The 23,451-nt window shown below is 35.9% G+C and overlaps 1 protein-coding gene across 19 annotated transcripts in view; it reads left to right on the forward strand.

Annotated features, from left to right (window-relative positions):
- GAS2 (growth arrest specific 2) overlaps positions 1-23,451 on the forward strand; it is a 187,054-nt gene that overhangs the window by 129,319 nt on the left and 34,284 nt on the right. For 9 of the 19 annotated variants that reach the window (XM_047426746.1, NM_001391937.1, XM_047426747.1 and 6 more), the window contains one exon: positions 526-633. In XM_047426746.1, coding sequence (XP_047282702.1) covers positions 526-633 — 108 coding nt within the window. The other 10 variants (XM_047426745.1, XM_011519972.4, XM_047426744.1 and 7 more) reach the window with 5 other exon arrangements.

Here is a 23,451-nt window from a genome sequence, read left to right on the forward strand (position 1 = left end):
CTTAGAGAAAATCTTAGAGTTCAAAATAAGATGAAACAATAGTCTCCTTAAAAAAACAACTTGTTAAACTCACTCTCATTTATTTTGAAACTGGGTAAAATTAATATGATTAAAATTATACTGAAGTAACATAAACTCTATGTTAACATACTTTCTATTCTGGTTTTCAATAGGTTGACCTTGACAACCCAAATGTGCATGGTCTTTTTAGTCCTCCAAAAGTAGGAACCCAGCTGATTATGTATAGTCTATAATTTCAGTTGGTTTCCTGCTCATTATCCTCCAGCATCATCACTGTCATTAGCTAACTTATGCCTTAGTGCAGTCATTTGCCTTCAGATGTCTTTGGGGCCTGAACTTTACATGGTTATGATTTAATGTGATATTCCTATGCTCACATGATGTCCATAGATAAATAACAAGTTTAAAGTCATTAAGGGTTCAGGGGCCGTGGAGTCCTTGGAGCAAATTAACATAAATGCAGCCTAATTAAGACAAATGAATGTGCCTGCTCTTCTATTTCAGGTGAAACGAATTTCTGAAGATCCTCCTTGCAAATGCCCAAACAAGTTCTGTGTGGAGCGGCTCTCCCAAGGAAGATACCGAGTGGGAGAAAAGATCCTCTTCATTAGGGTAAAGTTTTACTTTTCACTTATCTTGTTTTTATGGGAAGATTCAGAATTTGAGTTAGGGGAAATATGACAGATAAGAGCAGGAACTTCCATATGGTGCTTACGTTTAAAGATACATGGTATGAATTTTTTTAAAGTAACATACATTATAATGTACTACTGAAGGCTAAATACAACTGTTTTCTCTTTGTACATATACCAAAACGCATATACACCAAAGACACCATGGAGATCAAATAGATGAAGAAGGCTTTCCACTTGTGTTATGTTTTGCTAAGAATCAAGATAATTTAATCTCTCAAAGTAAGTTTGTGGCTTTTACTAAGACCAATAATTCTTTTTTTAAAAAAAAGAAAAGAAAAGAAAATGAAAAATAGAGATACATTCCTAGAAATCTGCAGTTGTAAATAAAAGTAATTTGCTGCTTTATGGTTTAGTCATTTCTAAAGGAACAGAGGTTGTGATGTTTTTTAAAAAAGCTATATTCTTTCCTCAGTTGAAAAAGTTAAAAAATATCCTGCTGTTTTGTAGAATAGAATGATTTGAATACGTACATCTAGTACCAGCAATGTGTAGTCTCACAATACTCAAATCTGCAATGACTCTGTTGAAATTTTGCCCTTGTAAAGTTTTCTTAATTTCTACTTTTGACCAAAACTTATTGGTATAACAGGTCTTTTTAAAGGCCCTGCAACATGTAGTTGCAAAAAGAAAGTTTAATCATAATTTTAGCCTTAAAATATAATGTTAATGGTTTTGAATTTTAATCTAATTTTAGATTAGCATTTACTAATATATTTCTTAAATTTCCAGGAAATAATTGCTATTCTGCTTTGGAATAGCAGCAAAAGGATATAACAATGTGTTATTATTGGAGTATGAGACAGATCTGCGTAGATGGCCTCACTAGGAAAGGCAGTTGTCTGAGTTGCTTATTGTTCTTTTGTTCTTTATTGCAAGGATAGCATACATATTTTGTTAAGTCAAACTGCCTGCTGTCATGTTAGTACATTAAATAATAGTGATCTAGAATCTCCACAGATGTGTTTAAATTTTACCGGGTTGACCTTTCTCAATTGATAATCAGTCTCCTTTAGAATATTAGGCTCCAGAGCTTAGAATCAAAACAGAGAGAGTCATTTGTTTAAACAGTTATTCCTTTTTGTAATAAAAGTGTTAATAAAGCACATGATTAATAAATTATATACTTCTCCCTGCAATGTAACCTAATATCTTCAGTCAAAAATATATATTACATATGTTTATTTGCATCTGTGATTTCAGATGCAAATTTAGTCATTTGTCAAGGATTTTAATGTCCACATTTGTGAATAACATGTTTTTATAGTCCTTACTATATAAGGCAGGTTTTTTGATATTCCATTTTTCTTTTCAAGAAATAGTTATCTTTTGATTAAATCTATTCATGCATTATTTATAGAGAAATTGAGATTTGCTGTACTGAAAAAATTGTATCAAATTTCTTAGGGATATTAATTTAATATCAACTAATACATAAGAACATATTGTGCACACTCAGTTTCTTACTTCTAATGTTCCAGGTGAACCTGCAATAAGAGAGTTAACTGTGATGTGGTTATTCACTGATTAGTCCAGCAAGTAATGGCATCATGCTATTATGACATGTTTTAGAATAGTGTCTTAACGAACGTTAATCATTTATTCTCTTGATTTTTATACTATCCACATACAATTTTACTATTTTTATAACATTTCCCTTTAAAATGAAACGTTTTTTAAAAACTTAATTTTTAGCAAAGATAAATTTCTGTCACTGCCTAAATTACAAACCGAAACTATTTGTCAAAAAAGGAAAACATTCTTGAACATATATTGATTGAAATACCTATCCTTTGGCTTGTCATAAGTTCATTTCCACCCTGAAGGAGTAATATGATTCTAAAAAAGGCTCCTGTCTATGTGTCTGGTTATCCGTGGAGGCTTAAAAATTAAAATTTCATAGGCAGGTCACATGTGCCTTGAATTGTATATTTTTCCCTATTTCCTCCTCTGTGTTAACTAGAAAAACTAAACATGTCTCCTTGATGTGCATATGATTATGCTAGTACTTTCAGTTTGTGGTAGGGACTATATTTAATTGATTGCCATTCTGCTCCTTACTAATGTAAGGAACTGGCAGTTACTACTCAAAAAATCTCATAGGTATTGAATTGGTTTTCAAATGATCATATGGTTGTCACTGCTAATGTTTTAACTATATTTCCTTGAACACCTGGATTAAGTAGTAAGTGCCTGTAGTCAAATTCTCACACATACTAGGTGAACAACTGCCTCATAGTGTCTTCATTGCAGTTCTTGCATTTCTTAAATTTGCATCTTTCACATGGGCGTATTTTAAACTTTGTCATATCTTTTTTGAGGCTGCCTAATACGGTCATATTTACTGACAGTATTTATGTATATTATTCTATAAAGTATACATACAATGACACATACATTGTGTCTTAACATTTGTCCCCTAGTTAGTTGTTCACCCTGAGAGCAGCAGTGTATTCATATGGTCATAATGAACCTGTCCAATGCAAAGAACAATTCAGGGTCACTTAAGGCTAATGAGACTGTTTACCTTTACTTAAAGATAAAACAATTACCAGAACACTAACTCAGTAAGAATTGTTCCTTAGGAAGTCATAGATACGCCAGGCACAGTGGTTTACGCCTGTAATCCCAGCACTTTGGGAGGCCGAGGCGGGCAGATCACCTGAGGTTGGGAGTTCGAGACCAGCCTGACCAACATGGAGAAACCCCACCTCTATTAAAAATACAAAATTAGCTGGGCTTGGTGGCGCATGCCTGTATTTCCAGCTACTTGCAAGGCTGAGGCAGGAGAATTGCTTGAACCCAGGAGGCGGAGGTTGTGGTGAGCCAAGATCATGCCATCGCACTCCAGCCTGGACAACAAGAGCAAAACTCCGTCTCAAAAAAAAAAAAAAGAGAAAGTCATAGATACAAGATTCTTTTGATAAGCCTGTGCCTAACACTGTTAACTCTTGACTGATGCTTAACTAAGCCAGGGTTAACAATTCCATTGCTAACCACCTTACAAGGTTTGTTGACCACACCTAATCACTTTATGTGTCGACTTATGATTATGTATGTATATGAACATATCTTCCCTATACATTCAAACAGATACAGTAACAACAACTATGAATGAAAAAATAAGAATGCCTGCAAATTTCAAAGGAAGACCGGGAAGATATTTTCTGCAGAGAATATCTTTACTAAGCATATGTCTTGTCTGTGGGTTTCTGGAAACCAATGTATGAATAGATACTTCCCATACATGGCTATCTAATGTGTACTTATGTATTAATAGAGGCATCTATGTACTTTTGTAGACAGGCTTGTTTATGTTCATATTTCTCCATTTACAGGTGAGGATTAATCCATGCCTAAATGTTAAGAATCCTTTAGTACAGAGAAAAACCTCTGAGGATTTAGGAAAACATCCTAATAATCCATTGCCAAATGGGAATTTTTTTTGTTTCTAGCTTATGAAAAATAATTTGTCAAAGCCAAATTTTTGCCTGGTACTTTCCAAAGAGCAACATTGTTTTTTTGAACTATCAAATGCAGCTAATTTTTATCTATATTGTGCAGATGCAAATGTACTCTCCTCCAAGATATAAATATTTCAGTTATTTTTCAGTGACTTTGAATTTGGACAGCGATGATAAAACCTTCTGATTTCTGCAGTAACAGAGATTTGGATTAACAGAGATTTGGATTATTCCCATTCAACCATAATACGTATCTTTGAAATGTAAATAGGTGGATCTCAGGACTAATGTCTTGATTTCAGGGAGGAGAGAATTTTCTCTTGTTCATTTGTTTATTCAGTCAGTTGGTATCTACATAGGCTTCAAGTATCAAGAAGTCACTTGGCAATTGAAATCCGAATGAGCCTGTAAAAAGGGACTTCAGAAATATGTCTTAGATGCAATAATAATGTCTGTGGTATTTGACTTATCAATTCCAATTTGATGGCTATGTTCTACCTAAGTACTCCAAGTTGGAGTGCAGTGCTGCGGCTCACTGCAACCTCCATCTCCCAGGTTCAAGCGATTCTTGTGACACAGCCTCCCAAGTAACTGGGATTACAGTGTGTACCATCACACCCAACTAATTTTTAATTTTTAATTTTTTTTTTTTTTTGTATTTTAAGTAGAGACAGGAATTCATCATATTGGCCAGGCTGGCTTCAAACTCTTGGCCTCAGGTGATCCGCCTGCCTTGGCCTCCCAAAGTGCTGGGATTACAGGCATGAGCCACCGCACACAGTGTCTTCCAACAGTAATTTTTAAAATGGCCAAAGATTAGCAGCATCAGCATCATTTGGAAACTTGTTAGAAATGCAAATTCTTGGGGCTTCCCCAAGACTTACTAAATCAGAAACTCTGAGGGTAGGGCCCAGCCTCCTGTGTTTTAATAAGTCCTCCAGGTGTTTCATACATGTCCTGAAGTTTGAAAATCACTTTAAAACAATATATAGGAAGGGATTCAGTGTACCAACAACGCAATTCAAAATCATTTGCATGTCTGATCATGAAAGCATATTAGCAGTCAGGTGCTAAAAATGATCATTTTGAAGACTTCTGTGTATTGTTGGAAGGAAATGCTTAAGACGTCATTGTAAGTGAAAAAAAGAGGCTTTTAAATTATATTTACATATAAAATAGCTCTGTGTAGAAATGATTAGGATAAAGACAAAGAAAATGGGAATAATAGAAAATAGTTTTTATTTGTCAAGGACACAGAATTATGAGTGTGTGATTTTTTTTCTGTTCTTCAAATTTCTGATGATCATTTTAAAAATATGAACTCTTTAAGGTAAACCAGCAAACAGATACAGTTAAAAATTTGAGAATAAATTAAAAGCCCTCTGAAAGTTGTCAGGTTAATTAGCAGACTGCTCATTTGAATCGCCCTTTTGCTGAGCTTCCTATCTTCCGGAAAATGGTGGGGAGGTTTTTTGGAGTCATGGTATTATTTAGACTACAGAGAATTTTTGCATATTGTTGTGAACTTATAGCATATTTTTCGTTAGATGAAGCTGTCTTCCTTTACTATTTTCTCTCTCCATTTTGGAAATTGATATTGTTTAGGATTAGCACCTGGAAATATTTAAATGTTTATCTACTGTCTGGATAATATGCCTTGTCTTTCCTTATCTTTGCAGACCCTATCAGTGATCTACGTACTCAGTTTTTTCTCTACTAATCATTACAATTTTAACCATTTGGTGTTCCATTCCTTTAGGGCTCAGTTTTTAGTGAGAGGAAAATAACCTAATATGATAAACTTATCTGTGCTAATTTATGAAATGGATGCAGACAGCCCCAGTGAATAGAACATCTATGTGATAAGGTCTTTACACTTAACTAAGCTGCTCTAATGTTCTGATAATAAAAATTTCTGACAAAGTAGCAGCCAGTGGGGTCACATGTTGTGAGGTAGATAACATTTTGTGCTACTTGGTTTGCTCACTAATGTAATGAATACTTTTTTACTTAATTGCAATTTATCACTACCCTAATATTGTACCTTAGGGTTGTTCAAAGTGTGTTCCCAAGAATAATAGTTCCAGAAGATGTTCAAAAATATTATTTGTAAAGAAAAGTTAACATGGTTAAGAGTTGAAACAGGTTTCTTTAATTGCTCTTATTTACTGATAATTGCCTTTGTTAGCCTGTATCAGAACACTTGATATATCTCATTATAACCTCCCAAACTCGTGTGGAAAATGTTGTTGCCATTTCCATTTTACAGATGGGGAAACTGAGACACTGAGGTTGAGTAACTTCTCAAAGTTCTAAGGTAATAAGCATTGGAAGTGGGCACTAAACCCTGGCAGCTTAACTCCTAAATTTACACTTTTTACCACTAAGCAGTATTGATCACTTTACCTGGAATTTCTTGGATGATTCAATATACTAATGTGATCTGCAAGCTCCTAGAGGGAAATATATTGTTCAGCATTTTCCAAATGTATTTAACCATAGAAATAGTCTCCCTCCCACCTTTTTATCCCCCAGAGCATCTTCCTGTGCTAGGAGGTCATAGAAACATAGTTTGAGAAAGACATTGTCAATTGAAGCAAATGGAATAATTTGTAACGTAGAATTTATATTGAAAGTTGTCCACATCTTGCCACAATTAAATCTCATATATTTTTAAGGTATTAAGGAATATTTAATTTGTTTTCATTTTTACCTTCAAATTCCATTTGGAAATGATTTTCAAGGACATGACTGGAAAACCTTTAAAGAAAAGACAGCTACAATTTAATAAGGATCGTTTGTTCCAGGCATTTTACCAGCTGCTTTATGTTTATATTTATATCACAGGATTCTTTCTAAACCATACAACTTGGAAATTGTTTTTATCTTTTTATTACAGGTGAAAAAATAAAGTCTTAGAGAAGTTCTTAAGTAAGTAGTAAAATAAGTAAAAGTCAAAGCCGTGACTTGCCAAACCTATAACACATTCCACTCCAAGCTGCCACCTGTGCATGTCCATTAAATGCAAATATCTTATTCAAAAGGCTATTCCTCTATAAATAATCCATACCTTTTATAATATATTTCATGCTCAACCACAGTAAAGTATTTTTACACAATTTTTACTTTAAAAGTATTCAGAATACAAAGGGCATTCAATTGCATAATCAATAGTGCCTAATATAAAGATATATATTTGCCTGACTATATTATGACAGGATAAAAAGTATGATAATATTTTTGTTACTGTATGATGGACACTGTATAAAATTCTTTATGTGGTCTATCTCCTTAATAGGCAAAATTAACTAGAATTCTATAATAAGACATATTGCTATCTGTCCTGATATCTTTTCAATAGAAATCAGAAGATAATTCTCCCATATTGCCAGTATAGTCTTGTTGAGTCTTCTCTTGCTAATTGTAGTTATTTTTTAAGTAGACTGGTATTACGTCAAGACATTTTCATAGCAGAACTTCACAGTTGGATAAAATAATATGAAATTCCATACTGATGCTCCAGTGGCTTAAGGGTATTTTTCTAGTTTAAGAAATATGAGTACTTGAGGGGCCTAAAGAAAAGACAATGAATAATTTAATTGGAAGTCAGCAAAGGGATTTGAAATGTTATGGCGTTACCTCCTTTGTACTACTTTTAAATTAAATCATCACAGATCAATAGAAAGGTCACACACATTGTTATTGACTCTGTGTAATTTCTTCCTTAGCATAAAAATTCTTCAGGATTATGCCTGTGTGGTAAAAATCAACTCTCTGAAACAAACCAAGCAAGAGAGGCACCAAAGCTCTGTTGCTATAGCAACTGAACTTGGCAATGTCTTCTGGGACTTGCTCTAAGGAAAGGTCCATGATAGTGGGTGATATTACGTTCTTTTTTGCTCTTATGGCACATACTGATTTACTGTGAGTAAAAAGTAGCATGGTTCAAATTTCATATTTTTCCTAGTGATGAAAAATGGGCTGTTGTGTGAAAATGTAAAGGAGTTTTAAACAACTAGCAAAGAAGTTAAAACCTCCATTTATCCTTAGTGGAAATGCTGCAGAAGCAGCCATTACTCAGCAGCTGAAAGTCAACAATTCATTTAAAAAAATACACATACACACACACACACACACACACACACACACACACACACACACACGTCATCTAATTTAGCAATGTATGAGAATAGTGGATGCCATTTTAAAATTATATTAATGCCTAGATTTGTTTCTAGGGGGAAAATATGGCCGTGTTTGCTTCTGATGTATATAAAATCTCAGACATTTATAGTGCTCTAAGCCATAGTAAGAGAAATATGAGTGCTATCAATACATGAATATTTCCAAACTCAGTTCTCCCAACTGCCTCAAAACTAAACACTAATTCAGGAAATGCAAGCAATAACATTTAAAATGTGTTCAAATGCTTTTAGCTTTTAATTCTTTTATGTTTTTGCTTCACTAAAGACACTCTCATTTGTTTTGTCATCCATTGATGTAATTTACACTTTGGTAAAACATATCTCAAAGGACTTTGCAGATATTGATAAATACTCTTAACCTATAGTCTCTAAGATAGGCATATGTTTTAGATAAATGCAATATAAGTAATAACTAACCATTGCTGTAAATAATTCAGCTAATGTGTTTTTTTCTGAGAGTTATCCTTTTTTTAAGATTTTTTAAAAAAATTTTAAAAATTCAAAACAAACTGTCAAGAATTGCACCCTGAAACTACATCCATTTGACACCACTTTTTTTAAAAAAGCAAGAAAGACGGCCGGGCACGGCGGATCATGCCTGTAATCCCAGCACTTTGGGAGGCCGAGGCGGGCGGATCACGAGGTCAGGAGATCGAGACCATCCTGGCTAACATGGTGAAACCCCGTCTCTACTAAAAATACAAAAAATTAGCCGAGCGTGGTGGCAGGCGACTGTAGTCCCCGCTACTCCGGAGGCTGAGTCAGGAGAATGGCGTGAGCCCGGGAGGCGGAGCTTGCAGTGAGTGGGGAGATCTCGCCGCTGCACTCCAGCCTGGATGACAGAGCAAGACTCCGTCTCAAAAAAAAAAAAAAAAAAAGAACAAAAAAGCAAGAAAGACAATGAAATTTGGTATTTATTACAATAATTAAAAGTAAAGACAAAATCCGCAAATACTTTTGCACCAACCGAATAATACATCTGGGCAGTTTTCTATATTCTAATTTAAGTTAGAGAGCTCATTTCTTCTTCCACTGACATTAAATGTGAAAAACAATAAATAAATAGAAGCTCAAAACCAAAAATTATTCTTCATTAAAAACTTACCACTATTGGCCATTTAGCAATGAGTAGATTTTTCAATAGTGTCTACCTTCACTTGACCTGATAAGCATTCTTACTCATCTCCAACTCAGTTAGCAAGGTTTACCATGGCTTTAAATTGTGCAATACACATGCTACCTTACTTCAGTTTGAATAATTTTCTTTTGCCATTATGCTGTATCTAGAATCAATGTACAATTGCTTTTTCATTGGCCACAAATCATATTAAGGAAGCATTGAAAAGTCAAATGACGTCATTGAAAAACTGCACAGCTTCTATAATCTGCATTCCCGATTTCTGCATTGCTATGACCTTCCTGCCATTAAGATAAATTTGTTCCATATATGTGTATTTTATATCTAGTGATGTTGTGTGTGTGTATATATGTATGTATATATAGTGTATGTGTATATTATACAGATAGACACACACCTCCATACACGTACAAAAAATATATACAGAAATATATGTGTGTATAGTGAAAAGCAACAATATAGTAGAGAGTTGAACCGGTCCACTGATTTGACATTTTAACTGATTTTAACAGGGATCTCAGGTTGATTTTTCTACAACTGAAATTGAAATCCCAAGTCAAAAATTTTGTGGAAAAATACACCTTTTTATCCTATATTTCTATATACATATACTGCATTAGGCCATTACTGCATTGCTATAAAGAAATACCTGAGATTGGCCGGGGGCAGTGGCTCATGCCTGTAATCCCAGCACTTTGGGAGGCCAAGGCGGGCGGCTCATGAGATCAGGAGATTGAGACCATCCTGGCTAACACTGTGAAACCCTGTCTCTACTAAAATTACAAAAAATTAGCCTGGCGTGGTGGCAGGCACCTGTAGTCCCAGCTACTTGGGAGGCTGAGACAGGAGAATGGCGTGAACCCAGGAGGCAGAGCTTGCAGTGTGCCGAGATCGTGCCACTGCACTCCAGCCTGGGTGATAGAGTGAGACTCTGTCAAAAAAAAAAAAGAAAAGACAGACCTGAGATTGAGTAATTATAAAGAATATAGGTTTAATTGGCTCCTGGTTCTGCAGGCTGTACAGAAAGCAGCATCTGCTTCTCAGGAGGCCTCAGGAAGTTTCTATACACGGTGGAAGAAAAAGAGGGAGCAGGTACTTCACACGGTGAAAGTAGGAACAAGAGAGAGTGGGAGGGGAGGTGCCACACACTTTAAAATGACCAAATCTGTGAACTCACTCAGTGCGAGAGCTCACTTATCACCAAAGGGATGGCCCAAGCCATTCATGAGGTATCTGCCCTCATCATCCAAACACCTCCCACCATGCCCCACCTTCAACATTGCGGATTACATTTCAACATGAGACATGGGTAGGAGACAAATATCTAAACTGTATCATATACTATTTAATACTCACCAAATGCTTTCTGTGTATCTGTTGTCTAAGTGCTTTCCTCGGATTCTTTTTTTTTTTTTCAACCCTCACAACTCTTTGAGGTAGGCACTGTTGTTATCCTCATAGTAACAATAAGGAAATTAAGTGTTAGAGAGCAAATTGCTTGTCAGAGATTACACAGTAAGTGTCAAAGCCTTTATTTGAATTTAATGTATCTGATTTCAGAGCCCACGGTTTTAATTATATGCTATTCATTCCATTTCAGACCATATAGACATTTGGCATGTCATTTTGTAAGTATTACTGTTCAACTTTTAAAATCCATTAGTAATTTACCTATACTCAATGCATAGCTCCTAGTTTGCTTATTCCTTTGCCTATGTGCTTTGGCAAAACAAGGAATTTAACAGCCAATTCCTATTCTAGAGTCAAAAAACAAAAAAGCACCCAGGAAACAGAATCTTACAAAACAGCCTCAATAACAACAACAACATAAACTAGAAAACCCAACAAAAATAGTTCAGTATAGTTATTTATTTTCTTTTCTTTGCTTGAAAAGTCTTCCAGAAACAAAAATTTATTCTAGGAATGAAGAAACTAAGGAACATTTACAATTTACTACAATTATAAACTTATATTTATGGCCTTTGGTCAGTTAAGATTAAATCCTCTTAATTTCAATAGGTATGGAAGGATTTTCTGAGCATGCTATGGTATGGCAGAGAGATGAATTTGCATTTTGTATCATTTTTTACTTTTATTAAAGGGTCTAAACTAAACATATGACCAAGTGCAAACTGAAAACGTTGGCATAGCAACTAATGCTTTGAAAGCAAGTTTCCTAAAATTGTCAAGTAATTTTTACATAACATTTTTTCTTAACTGTTTTTGTCTTGTTTCTTGATAGCAGTACGGATATCTTTCTTTTATATTGTTTGTAAAGTACTTTCATTTTATACATTATCTCATTTTAGCTTAATTATTACTGTATGACAAAAATGAGTGTGATTGTTAATTTATAAAACTTATCGATGAAGAAACTGCAGCTAATAGAAATTTAGTAATTTTCCTAAAGTAATCCTGTTAGTGATTGATCCAGGTTAAATTATATTATGAAAATTTATATCTAAATTTTATATGATTTAAACTTCACACAGCAAAATTTCCTTTTGAAGTTTTTTTTTAAAAAACTTTGTATAAATGAAAATAGTTCTTCACTGTGTTTTTGATTTTGGCATTGTTTTCCTTAAATTACAAAGCAAACAATACATAGTAATGTCTACTCGCAATGTTTGTAAGATTTTTCTTTTAACTTTCTGTAGACATCCTGACAAGGATATTTCTTTGTTTATATGTTCTATACTGATATGTGAATGATTTTTTTTGCAAAGGGGAAAGAAATGAAATAATTATGCATAATGTGTTGTGTTCTTGAATAACTGATGAGTCTTCTAGCTGCCAAAGAAAAAAACCTGTGAAATAACTGTCATATAAATTGTCTATAGTTCTCCCATGGGTTCAAGTTGCATAAATAGGATGTAGCTGGATTCAGTAAGAAATATGCTTTGCAAGTGTGGCCATTTTGAGTTTGTATTGAACATAGTCAAGCATGGTGGAAATGCTGCTGTTACAAGATTCACTATGATAAATTAGGATTCATTTATTTAGTGCTATCTTTTTCATAAACTTAGTGAGTTAAGTTTCTACATGACTGGTCATTTTAGAGCTTGTCTTGCATTTCCCTTTAATACTTGACATTTTGAATTTCACCACCTCAGTAAAAACGCATAATCTTGGTCCTGGACCCAGCAGGCACCTCCTTCATCTAAACGGCCAGTCCTTCCATTGCAAGAGGTTTACTGATTCACATCAACTTTTAGTTCACTGAAATGGTGTATTAACATTTTCATTTGAAGGCTGGGTGTACAGTGTTTCATGATATAGTCTGCCATCTTGTTAGAAGCAGAATAAGATCTTAAGGAGCTCTTTATGTAGGTTTTGGGAGGAACAGTGTGTGAAAATTTGGGTTTACATGTTGTCCTAGGAATATATCATTCAATTTTCTTTATAAAGAAATTCCAGATGTTACTAAAACAACAACAACAAAGCAAAATGACAACAAAAGCCCTGGCAAGGTATTTAATGGCATTTTGTCTATTTCTTTAAACAAACACCAGCAATAAGAAATCACTACATCAAGGTGTTATTCATCTCCCAATTGTAGCTTTCTTTTACATCACTATCTCTTTTACACACCAGCTTTTCATGCCAACTTCTAATCTCCCAGCACTACACTCACAGCTTGCCCTTCAAACACTCTTGCCAATTATGGAAAACTGCCTTCTCTCTAGGCCAGAGTACTTGATGATCTAGTTTATGTTATAGGCAAGTTTTATGGGACCACAAACTCCGTGGGAACAAATTATTTGAGACATCACCTTGTAATGGGCTTTCTGACCTTTTGTTGTTGTTGCTAAACCAAACTATCCAATGTTTTATTATTTCCTTTTCTCAGAAACTCATACCTTGGTTCACAGTCTCTAACTTTCACTCCCAACATAGTTCATTTGTCATATTTTTCCTAAAGTCTGGCTTCATAGACTATGGGGGAATGCAGAGAAAATGAATAGTCTTTCTAAGATCTCATTTAAAGGCAGATAAAAGGCAGGCCTGATTTCAAATTTGTCTTCTAGCTTTTGTATTAGGCATAAGGTCTCTAAGAATTTCATTCCAGAACCATGACATGCAGACAAAGTAACACATTAATTTGTCATCATCTACCAATGATAACATTCATGCTAATGTTACTCAGTCCTGGACTCTATTTTGATAATCATGCTAAGATCTTAAGGAACTCCTTATGTTCCTAATGAGGTCCAGGGTTAATAGAAAAAGTATGGAAACTCATATGGCAGACAGTTTTATTCACATCACATTGCCTGTCCACCTGGTAGGACTTAACCTAAGGTGGTCTTTAGCGTTGCCCAAGGAGGCACTTTGAACCACAGGATATGTGTCACAAAACTCCCCTCCCAGGGTGATATTTACAAAACACCTTATACCTCCTACTATTCCTCTAACAACCTATAGCCAACATGACAGGCAGGTAGGGGCATGCATTCCAAGGAGCAGAGCAAGGAATAACATGTCCAACCTTGAAGAATTTATTTATCTCCTGTATTTCCCCAACATCTTGTAACAAAAATAAATCCACCAATAAGTACTGAAAGAATTCCAGGTGAACCTGAATGTTAATTGACATCTTGGCACCAGTGACATGAACAGGCTTTTCCCTCATGTACAGCACTCATAGATCTGATAGATAACATGTATACATATATCAACTAGAGGAAAAGTGAAGATGAAATATTCTAAAGATAAAAGAGAAAGTAGCCTTAAATAAATTTTAAAAATTACAGCTATAATACTATCTAATCATGGGAGGGGAAACAGTTTTCCCAAAGATGACTTGACTTTGTCATCCTGATGCTTAGTCAGAGAATCTGAAACATATCCTTTGATTCCTATTGAAAGCCTTTCAACAAATTACCTTTCAGATAAACTGTCTCCTTGTGAGTTTGGAATCTCTAATTTTGAGTTAACCTCTCTAATTGTGAGCTTAAGATGCTACATAAATTACATTTTTTAATTACAACCAAAGAAAGTGGTAGAGTAGAAAAGAGTGTCTCCTGTGTCATGTAACTTTCTGAGGGTAAATATTAGGTTGGTGCAAAAGTAATTGCGGTTTTTGCCATGGAAACGAATGGTAGGCATGGAATATTATGCAGCCAGATAAAAGGAATGTGGTCATATCCTTTGCAGGGACATGGATGAAACTGGAAGCCATCATCCTCAGCAAACTAACACAGGAACAGAAAACCAAACACCGCATGTTCTCACTCATAAGTAGGAGTTGAACAATGAAAACATATGGACAAGGGCAGGGGAACAACACACACTGGGGCCTGTGGGAGTAGGGGAGGTGAGGTGAGGAAGAGCATCAGAACAGATAGCTAATGCATGCAGGGTTTAAAACCTAGGTGACAGCTTGATAGGTGCAGCAAAATACCATGGCACACGTATACCTATGTAACAAACCTGCACTTTCTGCACAGCTACCCTGGAACTTACATAAAGTTTAAATAAACAAATAAATAAATAGCAATGGTAGGGCCATTACTTTCATAATACAGTGGTAGGGCCTAGACAGGAAGCAAGGGGCCAACACACGTGAGTTGAGAGGGAACTCAGAACAATATAGTAGGATATTCCCCCAAAGTAGAAAGTTTTACACTGAAATTAAACGTTTCACTTACTTAACAATTTTCTCTAGGACTTTATTACACATTCTCTGGAGTCTGATATGTTTCTCTTGTAGAATTGAGACACAGACTTGATATCTGTCATCTTCAGCAAAAAATATTTCCTTACAGGTATTTTTTATTCTGGAACAGGAGACTAAAACCCCAGAAGAGAGATAATTCTAACATACATATTTTAAACTGCCAACAGCCAACGTAGCCTGTGATTCTCAAAGTATATATGTCTCAAATATCATTTAATGTGGATTACTATGCAATGAAACTTCACTATATGAAAATATGGAAATAGTTATTCTCATTGTCGTTCAAAAAGCTTTTCTTTAGTCTTGTCACAAAGGATCACAGTTTGCATTTTTAGGTGGCGTTCATGTACCTTTCTTCATTGAAGACGGAGAGCATTTTATGAACTTCATATCTTCTTGTTTCAGTAGGGTCTTCATGGTTGTGACTATATCTCCACAGCCAAAGCAAAGCAGACATTTAAGGTAATTACTTAGATAATTAGTGGGCAAATCTCCACTTTGCTTTCACTGTGGTGCCTTGGCCTTCAATCAGTTGAGGGAAGTTGGGCACTCAGAAGTTAATATTTTACTTTTTTTTTTTTCATGAGGTACTAAAACACTGTTTCTTCTTTTGTTTTTCCCATGATACTTTTGAAAAATGGCAATCTCAGATCTATTGTGGGTGGCTAGAAGACAGTAACCTAGTAATACAATATTTGTTATTTTGTTAGTGTAATTCTTGTGCTCCAGGAATGTTGAGCTTATTGTTAAAAATTGCTTGTATGAACCTGGGTTTTAGCTTCTGTATGCAATATCATCTTGGCCTTTGCTTTCAAATATTTGGAACAATACATTTATAGAATAAAAAATGAAACACCATATAATTTCAGAATGTCTCAATTCTACTCCCATTTGTAGTTTAATGCAAAAGGAACCTCATGGACCTCCACCACATTTTTTGCTCCTGACACCATACCAAACTTCCAGATGTATCAGTCATGTTTTAACACTTCAGTATGATGAAAGTTAGAGAGGATGGAAATGGAATGGGACTTGATTTTGAGGTACTGAGGTTGCATTGCACATAGGAAAACTGGCTCATTTTTAGTTTTTAAATATTAATAATTATATCTAGAAAGCACAGCTTACTTAAGTCTTGTCTGTTATACATAAATGCAAAATAATTATAAGAGAAACCCCATATTATAAATTCTACTTAAAACTAGATGAACATATCTTGAAACTACATTATGAGAATTTTTAGATTTCTAAAAGAGCACAGTTAAATGTATTTCCTTAACCATCATTTATTCTATCATTCATTCACTACATACAAGAGGGTGTGCTATTTGAAAGAACTGTTAGAAAGCTTGAGGATTTAATTTCTTTGTAGCTTCTGTTTCCTGGTAAAGATAATGCTTAATAATGTAAATATTGGTCATATACTATTAATTATTCTGACAGTTCAATATAATTTAATTTATTATCCCCATTAATAATTGACAGAGACAGGATGTGAGTTTCTGAAAATCTACTTCTAAAATTCCTTCAACAGACGTGCAAATGTGTCATACAAGATACAAGTATAACTCAGTTGTGTGGCAGAAACACCAGACATAACTTTTCTTGGAGCTGTTGAAAGGCATTGTATAGACTTATGAAGCAAGTTACTTGTAAATGAACATGAAACCTAAGTCTGTGGAGCTAATCTGACCATGACAGCCCTGACCCCCATTTATCACCAAAGTCGATTGAACCCCTCTTCCTGGCTGGTGTTAAGTTTCCCCTTTCACTATCCAGGTGTCACTTGGTTCAAGAGGAAGATGTTGGCGGACAGGTTTTCTTCAAATAATATGAGTACCTCTGTTATTTTCACTACTTAAATTGCCACAATTCTCCTTGCATCTTATAAAAGTATTGTTTTTTGGTTTTTGTTTTTTGTTTTACTTTTCATCAGTATCTTTTAAAGGGGTGTGTGTATTGGACTAGAGAGATGGTGTGGCATTTTCTAAAAACCCTAGGAATAATTCTTATTTTGGAATAAATTTTTTTTAAAAATCGCTGAAGTTAGTATGATTTCCATAGGCATCATGGATTTTATGTTGGAGGTTTGTAATGGAGTTTGTGTGATAGTTTTTTGAAGGCAGTTCAGGTCTCCATTTGGAGGGGCTAAAAATCATGCAGAGTTCTCTTCTTTCCTTTTCTCTGCCTTCCGTCTTTTCCCAGAGATGAGTAGAAGGAGGGAGGATAATTTGCTAAGTTTTGGCAGTGGTATCCCCATTTTGATTTGTTTTTCTTTCTAAATGCATATATAGAATGACAGCATTGGCATTATCCTACTTAAAGTTTAAATGCAGTAAAATCAAGAGCAAAGCATGCTTCCTGCATTTCTCACACCCTGCAATGCCCAAAGAAATAATCTGGAGCTGAGCTACACCAGTGGGCTCTTTTTCAGTCCTAGAATAAAGAGAGGGGCCTTTAGTGGATATAGCCCTTTCTAGGGTCATCTCTCCTTCCACTCTTGAACTCAGGAAGTTCCAGTAGAGTGCTAAGAGGTTCAGGCTTTATCATACCTTGGCACCTAGGGCTGAAACACCTGGAGACCAGCAGAGGCTACATAGTGCCAATCTCATAATTCTTTCTCCTCCTAGAGGCTGCAGTCTTCTGTCTGTGGTCGCGGTTCATTTTCCCAGTATTCCCCAGAGTAACTTCAGTCCTCTGGCTCTTCTGACTTTTGGTAAGGAGGCTTGCCAAGCTGTCTTCATTCCTGAATCTCATTACCTACATCTGGGCCCGGTTTTCCCTGCCTAATTTCAAGCACTTTTCCAAGGATGGGACTTATGCTCCAGTCATCTTTGCTCTTTATGTCCAATGTCACACCTCAATCTTTTTTTTTTTTTTTTTTTTTTTTTGAGACAGAGTCTCGCTCTGTTGCCCAGTCTTGAGTGCAGTGGTGTGATCTCGGCTCACTGCAAGCTCCGCCTCCCGGATTCACGCCATTCTCCTGCCTCAGCCTCCCGAGTAGGTGGGACTGCAGGCGCCCGCCACCATGCCCGGCTAATATTTTGTATTTTTAGTAGAGACGGGGTTTCACCGTGTCACACCTCAGTCTTAATCTCTCCTCTTTAGAACACCGTCAAGTCTTCCAAGATCTTTGCAGGGCTGGAATTGGCACTCTCCTTGGGGCTTATTTGCTATGAAATGTTTTCTCTCTGAAGCAAGATGGCCCTTTCTACTTGTTTTTGTTTGCATTTCTCAGATCAGTTTCTTTCACTTGATCATCATTTCAACATGATCTCCTTCCTGACCTCGCTTCCACAGCAGGTTATAAAAAAGGTGACAAACACCATTTTAAGCATTTAGATTCCAGCAATTTTCACATAGCCAGAGGCTAGTGAGGGAGGCATCGATATATGTAATGTGCTTCCCACCTGGCATGCACTTCCTAGACATTCCCAGTTAAATACATCAGAGCTCCGTTTTAATTTTATGTGCAATTTTATTTTATTTTGAAACAGAGTTTCGCTCTTGTTGCCCAGGCTGGAGTACAATGGCACAATCTCGGCTCACTGCAACCTCCGCCTCCCGGGTTCAAGCAATTCCCCTGTCTCAGCCTCCCAAGTAGCTGAGATTACAGGAGCATGCCACCACACCCGGCTAATTTTTGTATTTTTAGTGGAGATGGGGTTTCACCATGTTGGTCAGGCTGGTCTCGAACTCCTGACCTCAGGTGATCGGCCCGCCTCAGCCTCCCAAAGTCCTGGGATTACAGGCATGAGCCACTGCGCCTGGCCTTTTGTGCAATTTTATGTTCAGTGATCTCCAAATTTATTTATTCTGTTACAAGTATTTCTCTAAAATAACCCAGAGCTCTCTCAACTTACTAGGTGTTAGAGCTACTACAAATGACTTATCTTCAAACATGATCTCTTTCTGATTTTCTTAAAGTGAAGGGCTTTCTAAACAAGACCTATGTTTCATGAAAATGTGGTTAGTATGACATTTTAAACAAGGCATTTTCTTAAAGTAACAACTCCTAGATTTTTTTGGTAGCAAAGTGCTTGAAGATTGGGAGACCAAAACTGAATTGCCTGGGCAAGTACTAAAGGCAGTATTTGGTATGTTGACTTTAAGAACTGAGATTATGTTTGAGGAGATATCAACTTAACAGCAGAGTTAAGGTAGATATTTTCCTTTCATGAATCTTTCATGCAGTACATTTCTTCTGGTTAAATTTGGGGTTGAAGTTGCCAGTAGAGTTTACCTATCGTGATTTTTTTTTTTTCTGTTAATCTGGATTTCAAGAGTCAAGAAAGGGTATCTGCAGAAAGTCATGTCTGAGATGAGACTCAAAGAATAAGCACATGTTGGCTAAACAAAGTAGAAGTGAAAGTGTTTCAACCAGAATCAGAAAGAAAGGAGACAGCATACAAAAAGGCCCAGAAGTAACAGAGGAGGAGATGAGGGGAAGAGAGAGAGAGAGAGAGACCTCATCAGAACTGTAGAAGTGCAGCCTTGAGAGTTGAGGACAAAAGGAGGAGTGGGCAACGAGAGGCTGGTGTAGCAAGGGAGACATGATGCCAGGCAGACACACAGAGCCAGCTCATGGAGAGCTACCTGTATGATGAGAGCTTTGGCTTTCTCCTGAAGGCAATAAGAAGATTCTAAATAATTTTTAGACGAGGAGAAACATGAGTAGATTGCATTTTAAATCATTCAGGCTGTAGTGCAGATAATGAATTGAAAAGGTATAAAGTTGGAGGACGAGCATTCCACCGTTTTGGCTTGGAGAGTGTGGAGGTCAAGAGGGTGGCAGCTCATTCTGGGGACCTACCTCTTGAAATTCCAGGTATATATATTATTATCTACTGTGTGAGGCTATCTTGTGTCTTGGTTATTTAAAATTGAAACACCGTTAAGTTTATCTTTGTCCTGCAAACGATAACAGAAAAGCAACATGTTGATTTTGGCTTATTCTGATACATCTGCCTGGCATGGAGGAATTGGTCGGGTTTCAAAATGTCAGAATTTCTGCTTGTTAATGAGTGGTTTCTTTGGTGAGAATTTTATGTAGAATAAAATTGTGGGCTACTCACAGAAACTAAAAGAGAATGATGGGAAATAGTCTTTTAACATTTTACCACTGTAATGAGTTTTTGTTTGTTTGTTTGTTATTTAAAAAAAAAACCTCCGGGTAATATCAATTGACAAGAGTCAAATAAATTAATAAAAAGCACAGACTAGTGCTCCTATCAACAAGTTTTTAGAAATTTGTTACCCTAAGCTCTTATTCTCCAGATGTTATTCAGATTCTCAGTTCCAGGTCTGCCTAGTAATTTAGTACATGGCTTGTTTAGCATAGAAGAACTGTAAAAAATATAGAGCTCTGCCCACAATAAGCCTTTCATAGAGACTAAGACATTATATTAAAACTGTTCCTTGGGCCAAGATCCTTCCAGAGCATTCTTTGGCCATTTACAAATTTCTTTACATGAGTTCATTACAAATATACCCAGAAAGCATTGATTCCAGATGTACGGCTGAGTTAAGAGTTTTGGGTACGCGTTAACACAATTTATTTACCTTGTATTGTGCCTGTTGATTTTCAGTAGCAGAGAGTAAGTACCTACTATGTGCCTGGAACTGGTGTCATGAATTGAGCAGTGAACAAAATAGTCAGGTTTTTATGTTCTGGGAGTGGGAAGACAGGAATAAATATAAAGACCAAGGGGGCCAGATATAACTGTTTTAGGCTTTGTGGGGTGTATGGTTTCTGTTACAACTACTCACTTCTATTGTTTTAGCAATGAATTTGCGTGGTGGCTGTGTTCCAATAACACTGTACTTACAAAAATAGGTATGGGCCAGATTTGTTCTATAAACCATATAGTTTGCTGACCCCTGACATTGATCACTAAATAAGGAAGTTCATCTTATCTACTAATAAGAAAGAAAATAGAACAGGATAATATGGAAGGCAGTAGTTGTGGCAGCTTCGGCCAGAGTGATTGGGCAAGAGTTTTTTGTGATTGAGTTAAATCAGTGTCCGAGTGATTAAAGAGCAAGTTGTCAATATCATCTATTTATCATCTATTTACCTTTCTGTTAAAATTTTATATAAAGCTAAGAAAATTAAGTTACATATTATACATTTATAGGAGGTAGGAACCATATAGAACATGCTGACATGTACCTGGACTCAACAATTGTTGCCCTGTAGTTGAAGAGAGTTTCAGAAAATATCTTTCTCAAAAGTTCCAGCCTTCTTTAATTCATACTTTCCTCTGAATTTCTATGGCATTTATTAAATGATGAGATTCACTTAGCCTTGAGAAAATGTAACATTGGTTAGTGTATGTTTTTTGTATGCTGACCTGAAGTGTGTGGACAGTGTTATATGTTAGTTTCTAAACTGGCCTCTCAGCTTGGCATTCTTCTGTAGCTGGCATGTCATAACTATTGAATTACCATTTTATGAGGATCAGGAAAGTTAAAAGAGAGTGCAGCTAGGAGTCCAACAGGAGGTGGCTCAGATTGATAATTTGCTTTCACAATGCATAAAAACTTCCTATATGGAAAACATTAGCTGAAGGAAAAGGAGAGGCGTACTTGTGAATCTCAAGTGATCTCTCTAAGATTTGTAAGACGAGTTGTTTTATGTGTACTGTAGTTGTTGTTAAATCCTAAGCCATACAACAAATTAAAGAGTACAAGTTTATCAACAATACTCTGTGCCATTTGGCTCCCTTGGTTGATGCATGTGGAATAATCTGTCAGACAATAGGCATTACCTCTTGTATATAAGGAACTGGATAGAAGCCATGGCTTCAGACCTCAACGATCAGTTTAAGAAAGACTCAAGAGTTAATTACACAAATAAAATAAGACAAAATGAAAAGTTCCATGAAGCAGCATTATTTAGAGTACATATTCATTCAACAAAATTTTGCTGAGTACTTATAATGAGCTGGGTATTTTTCTAGACACTGATGAATTGTGACAAGTAGGATCAATATGATATAGATTTATCTGGAAAGCTTTCAAAGAGAAGGTAGAAATTCACCAGTGTCCTGAGAAGTATGTGGGATTTTAATTTGAGAGCACCATTTTAAAGGGTAAGCATGGCAGAGGAATAGGAAGAACTCAAGGGCTCTTCAAACAATGAATACAGTTAGTTTGATTGGAGATTATGTAGAGAATTCCAGCAGGAATAATGTAAGAAAGGTAGGTTGGGGGCAATTGTTGGAGGGCCTTGATAAATCCAAAAACTTTGGCATTTTAACCTGAAGGCATTACACGGCAATTGGAGATACTGAGCAATAGCATGGTACATTGAAGTTTAAGCCAATTAATCTGGCAGAGGTTTGTATATACAATTGTAGGTGGAGCAGAAAGAAACCAAAGGCAATTCTGCCAATTAGGAGGCTATTTCAGTTGTTCATATGCTATGTGCATTCACAAAAATGGTAGAGAGAATGGGAAAATGATGAACAATGTTAGTGGTATTTTGGGGGTAGACTTAATTGGCTATTAATGGAATAGAGGGAAGAGGCGAAGAAGAAACTAGAATTTTGAAAATAATGATTTCTTAAAACAAATTACTCCTCCCCTAGAAAAAAATTTAGTTGAAAAGTAATCTTTCCAGCTTAAAAGAGTTTTCTCAGGTCAAATGATTCTGCTGTCCACTTGCTATATAACCTTGATCAAGTTATTTAAAATCTCTGTGACTCATCTATAATGTGAATTATAATGCTACTCAGTTTTAGAGGGCTGATTATTCATTCAGCCGATATTCCATAAATTATTGTCTAGCTCCTGGGAATAGGGTGGTGAATGAGACAAGGTCCCTGCTGTTAAGGAGTATATTTTCTGATGGAGACAGATTCTTTCTCAGTAAGCAAATATACAGGTAATTTTGAGTTCTAATAAATGTTAGAAGGAAACATTTGATTCAATGTAGAATAATAGGGTTCAGGAGGGGTTACTTTGGGTAAAGCTTGAAGAGATGGCCTCTCCAAGGAAGTGATATTTGAAGTGAGATGTAAATGATGAGAAGGAGCCAGGCTTGCGAAGAGCGGGAAAAGCAGTTTAGAGGTAACAGGAAGAGCAAGTGCAAAAGTTGGCTTATTTGAGGAGCAGTATAGCAGATTTTTTAGGAAATGCACACCTACAAATGTAATACTTAATTGTCAGTCTGTAGGTAGAAATCATAGCAGATTTAAAAGGGTCACATGCCCTCTAGTGTCCTCTATGCCTTATTTAATCCTGTTAA

The sequence above is a fragment of the Homo sapiens genome, chromosome 11 (assembly GCF_000001405.40).
Source record: "Homo sapiens chromosome 11, GRCh38.p14 Primary Assembly".
Lineage (NCBI taxonomy): Eukaryota > Metazoa > Chordata > Mammalia > Primates > Hominidae > Homo > Homo sapiens.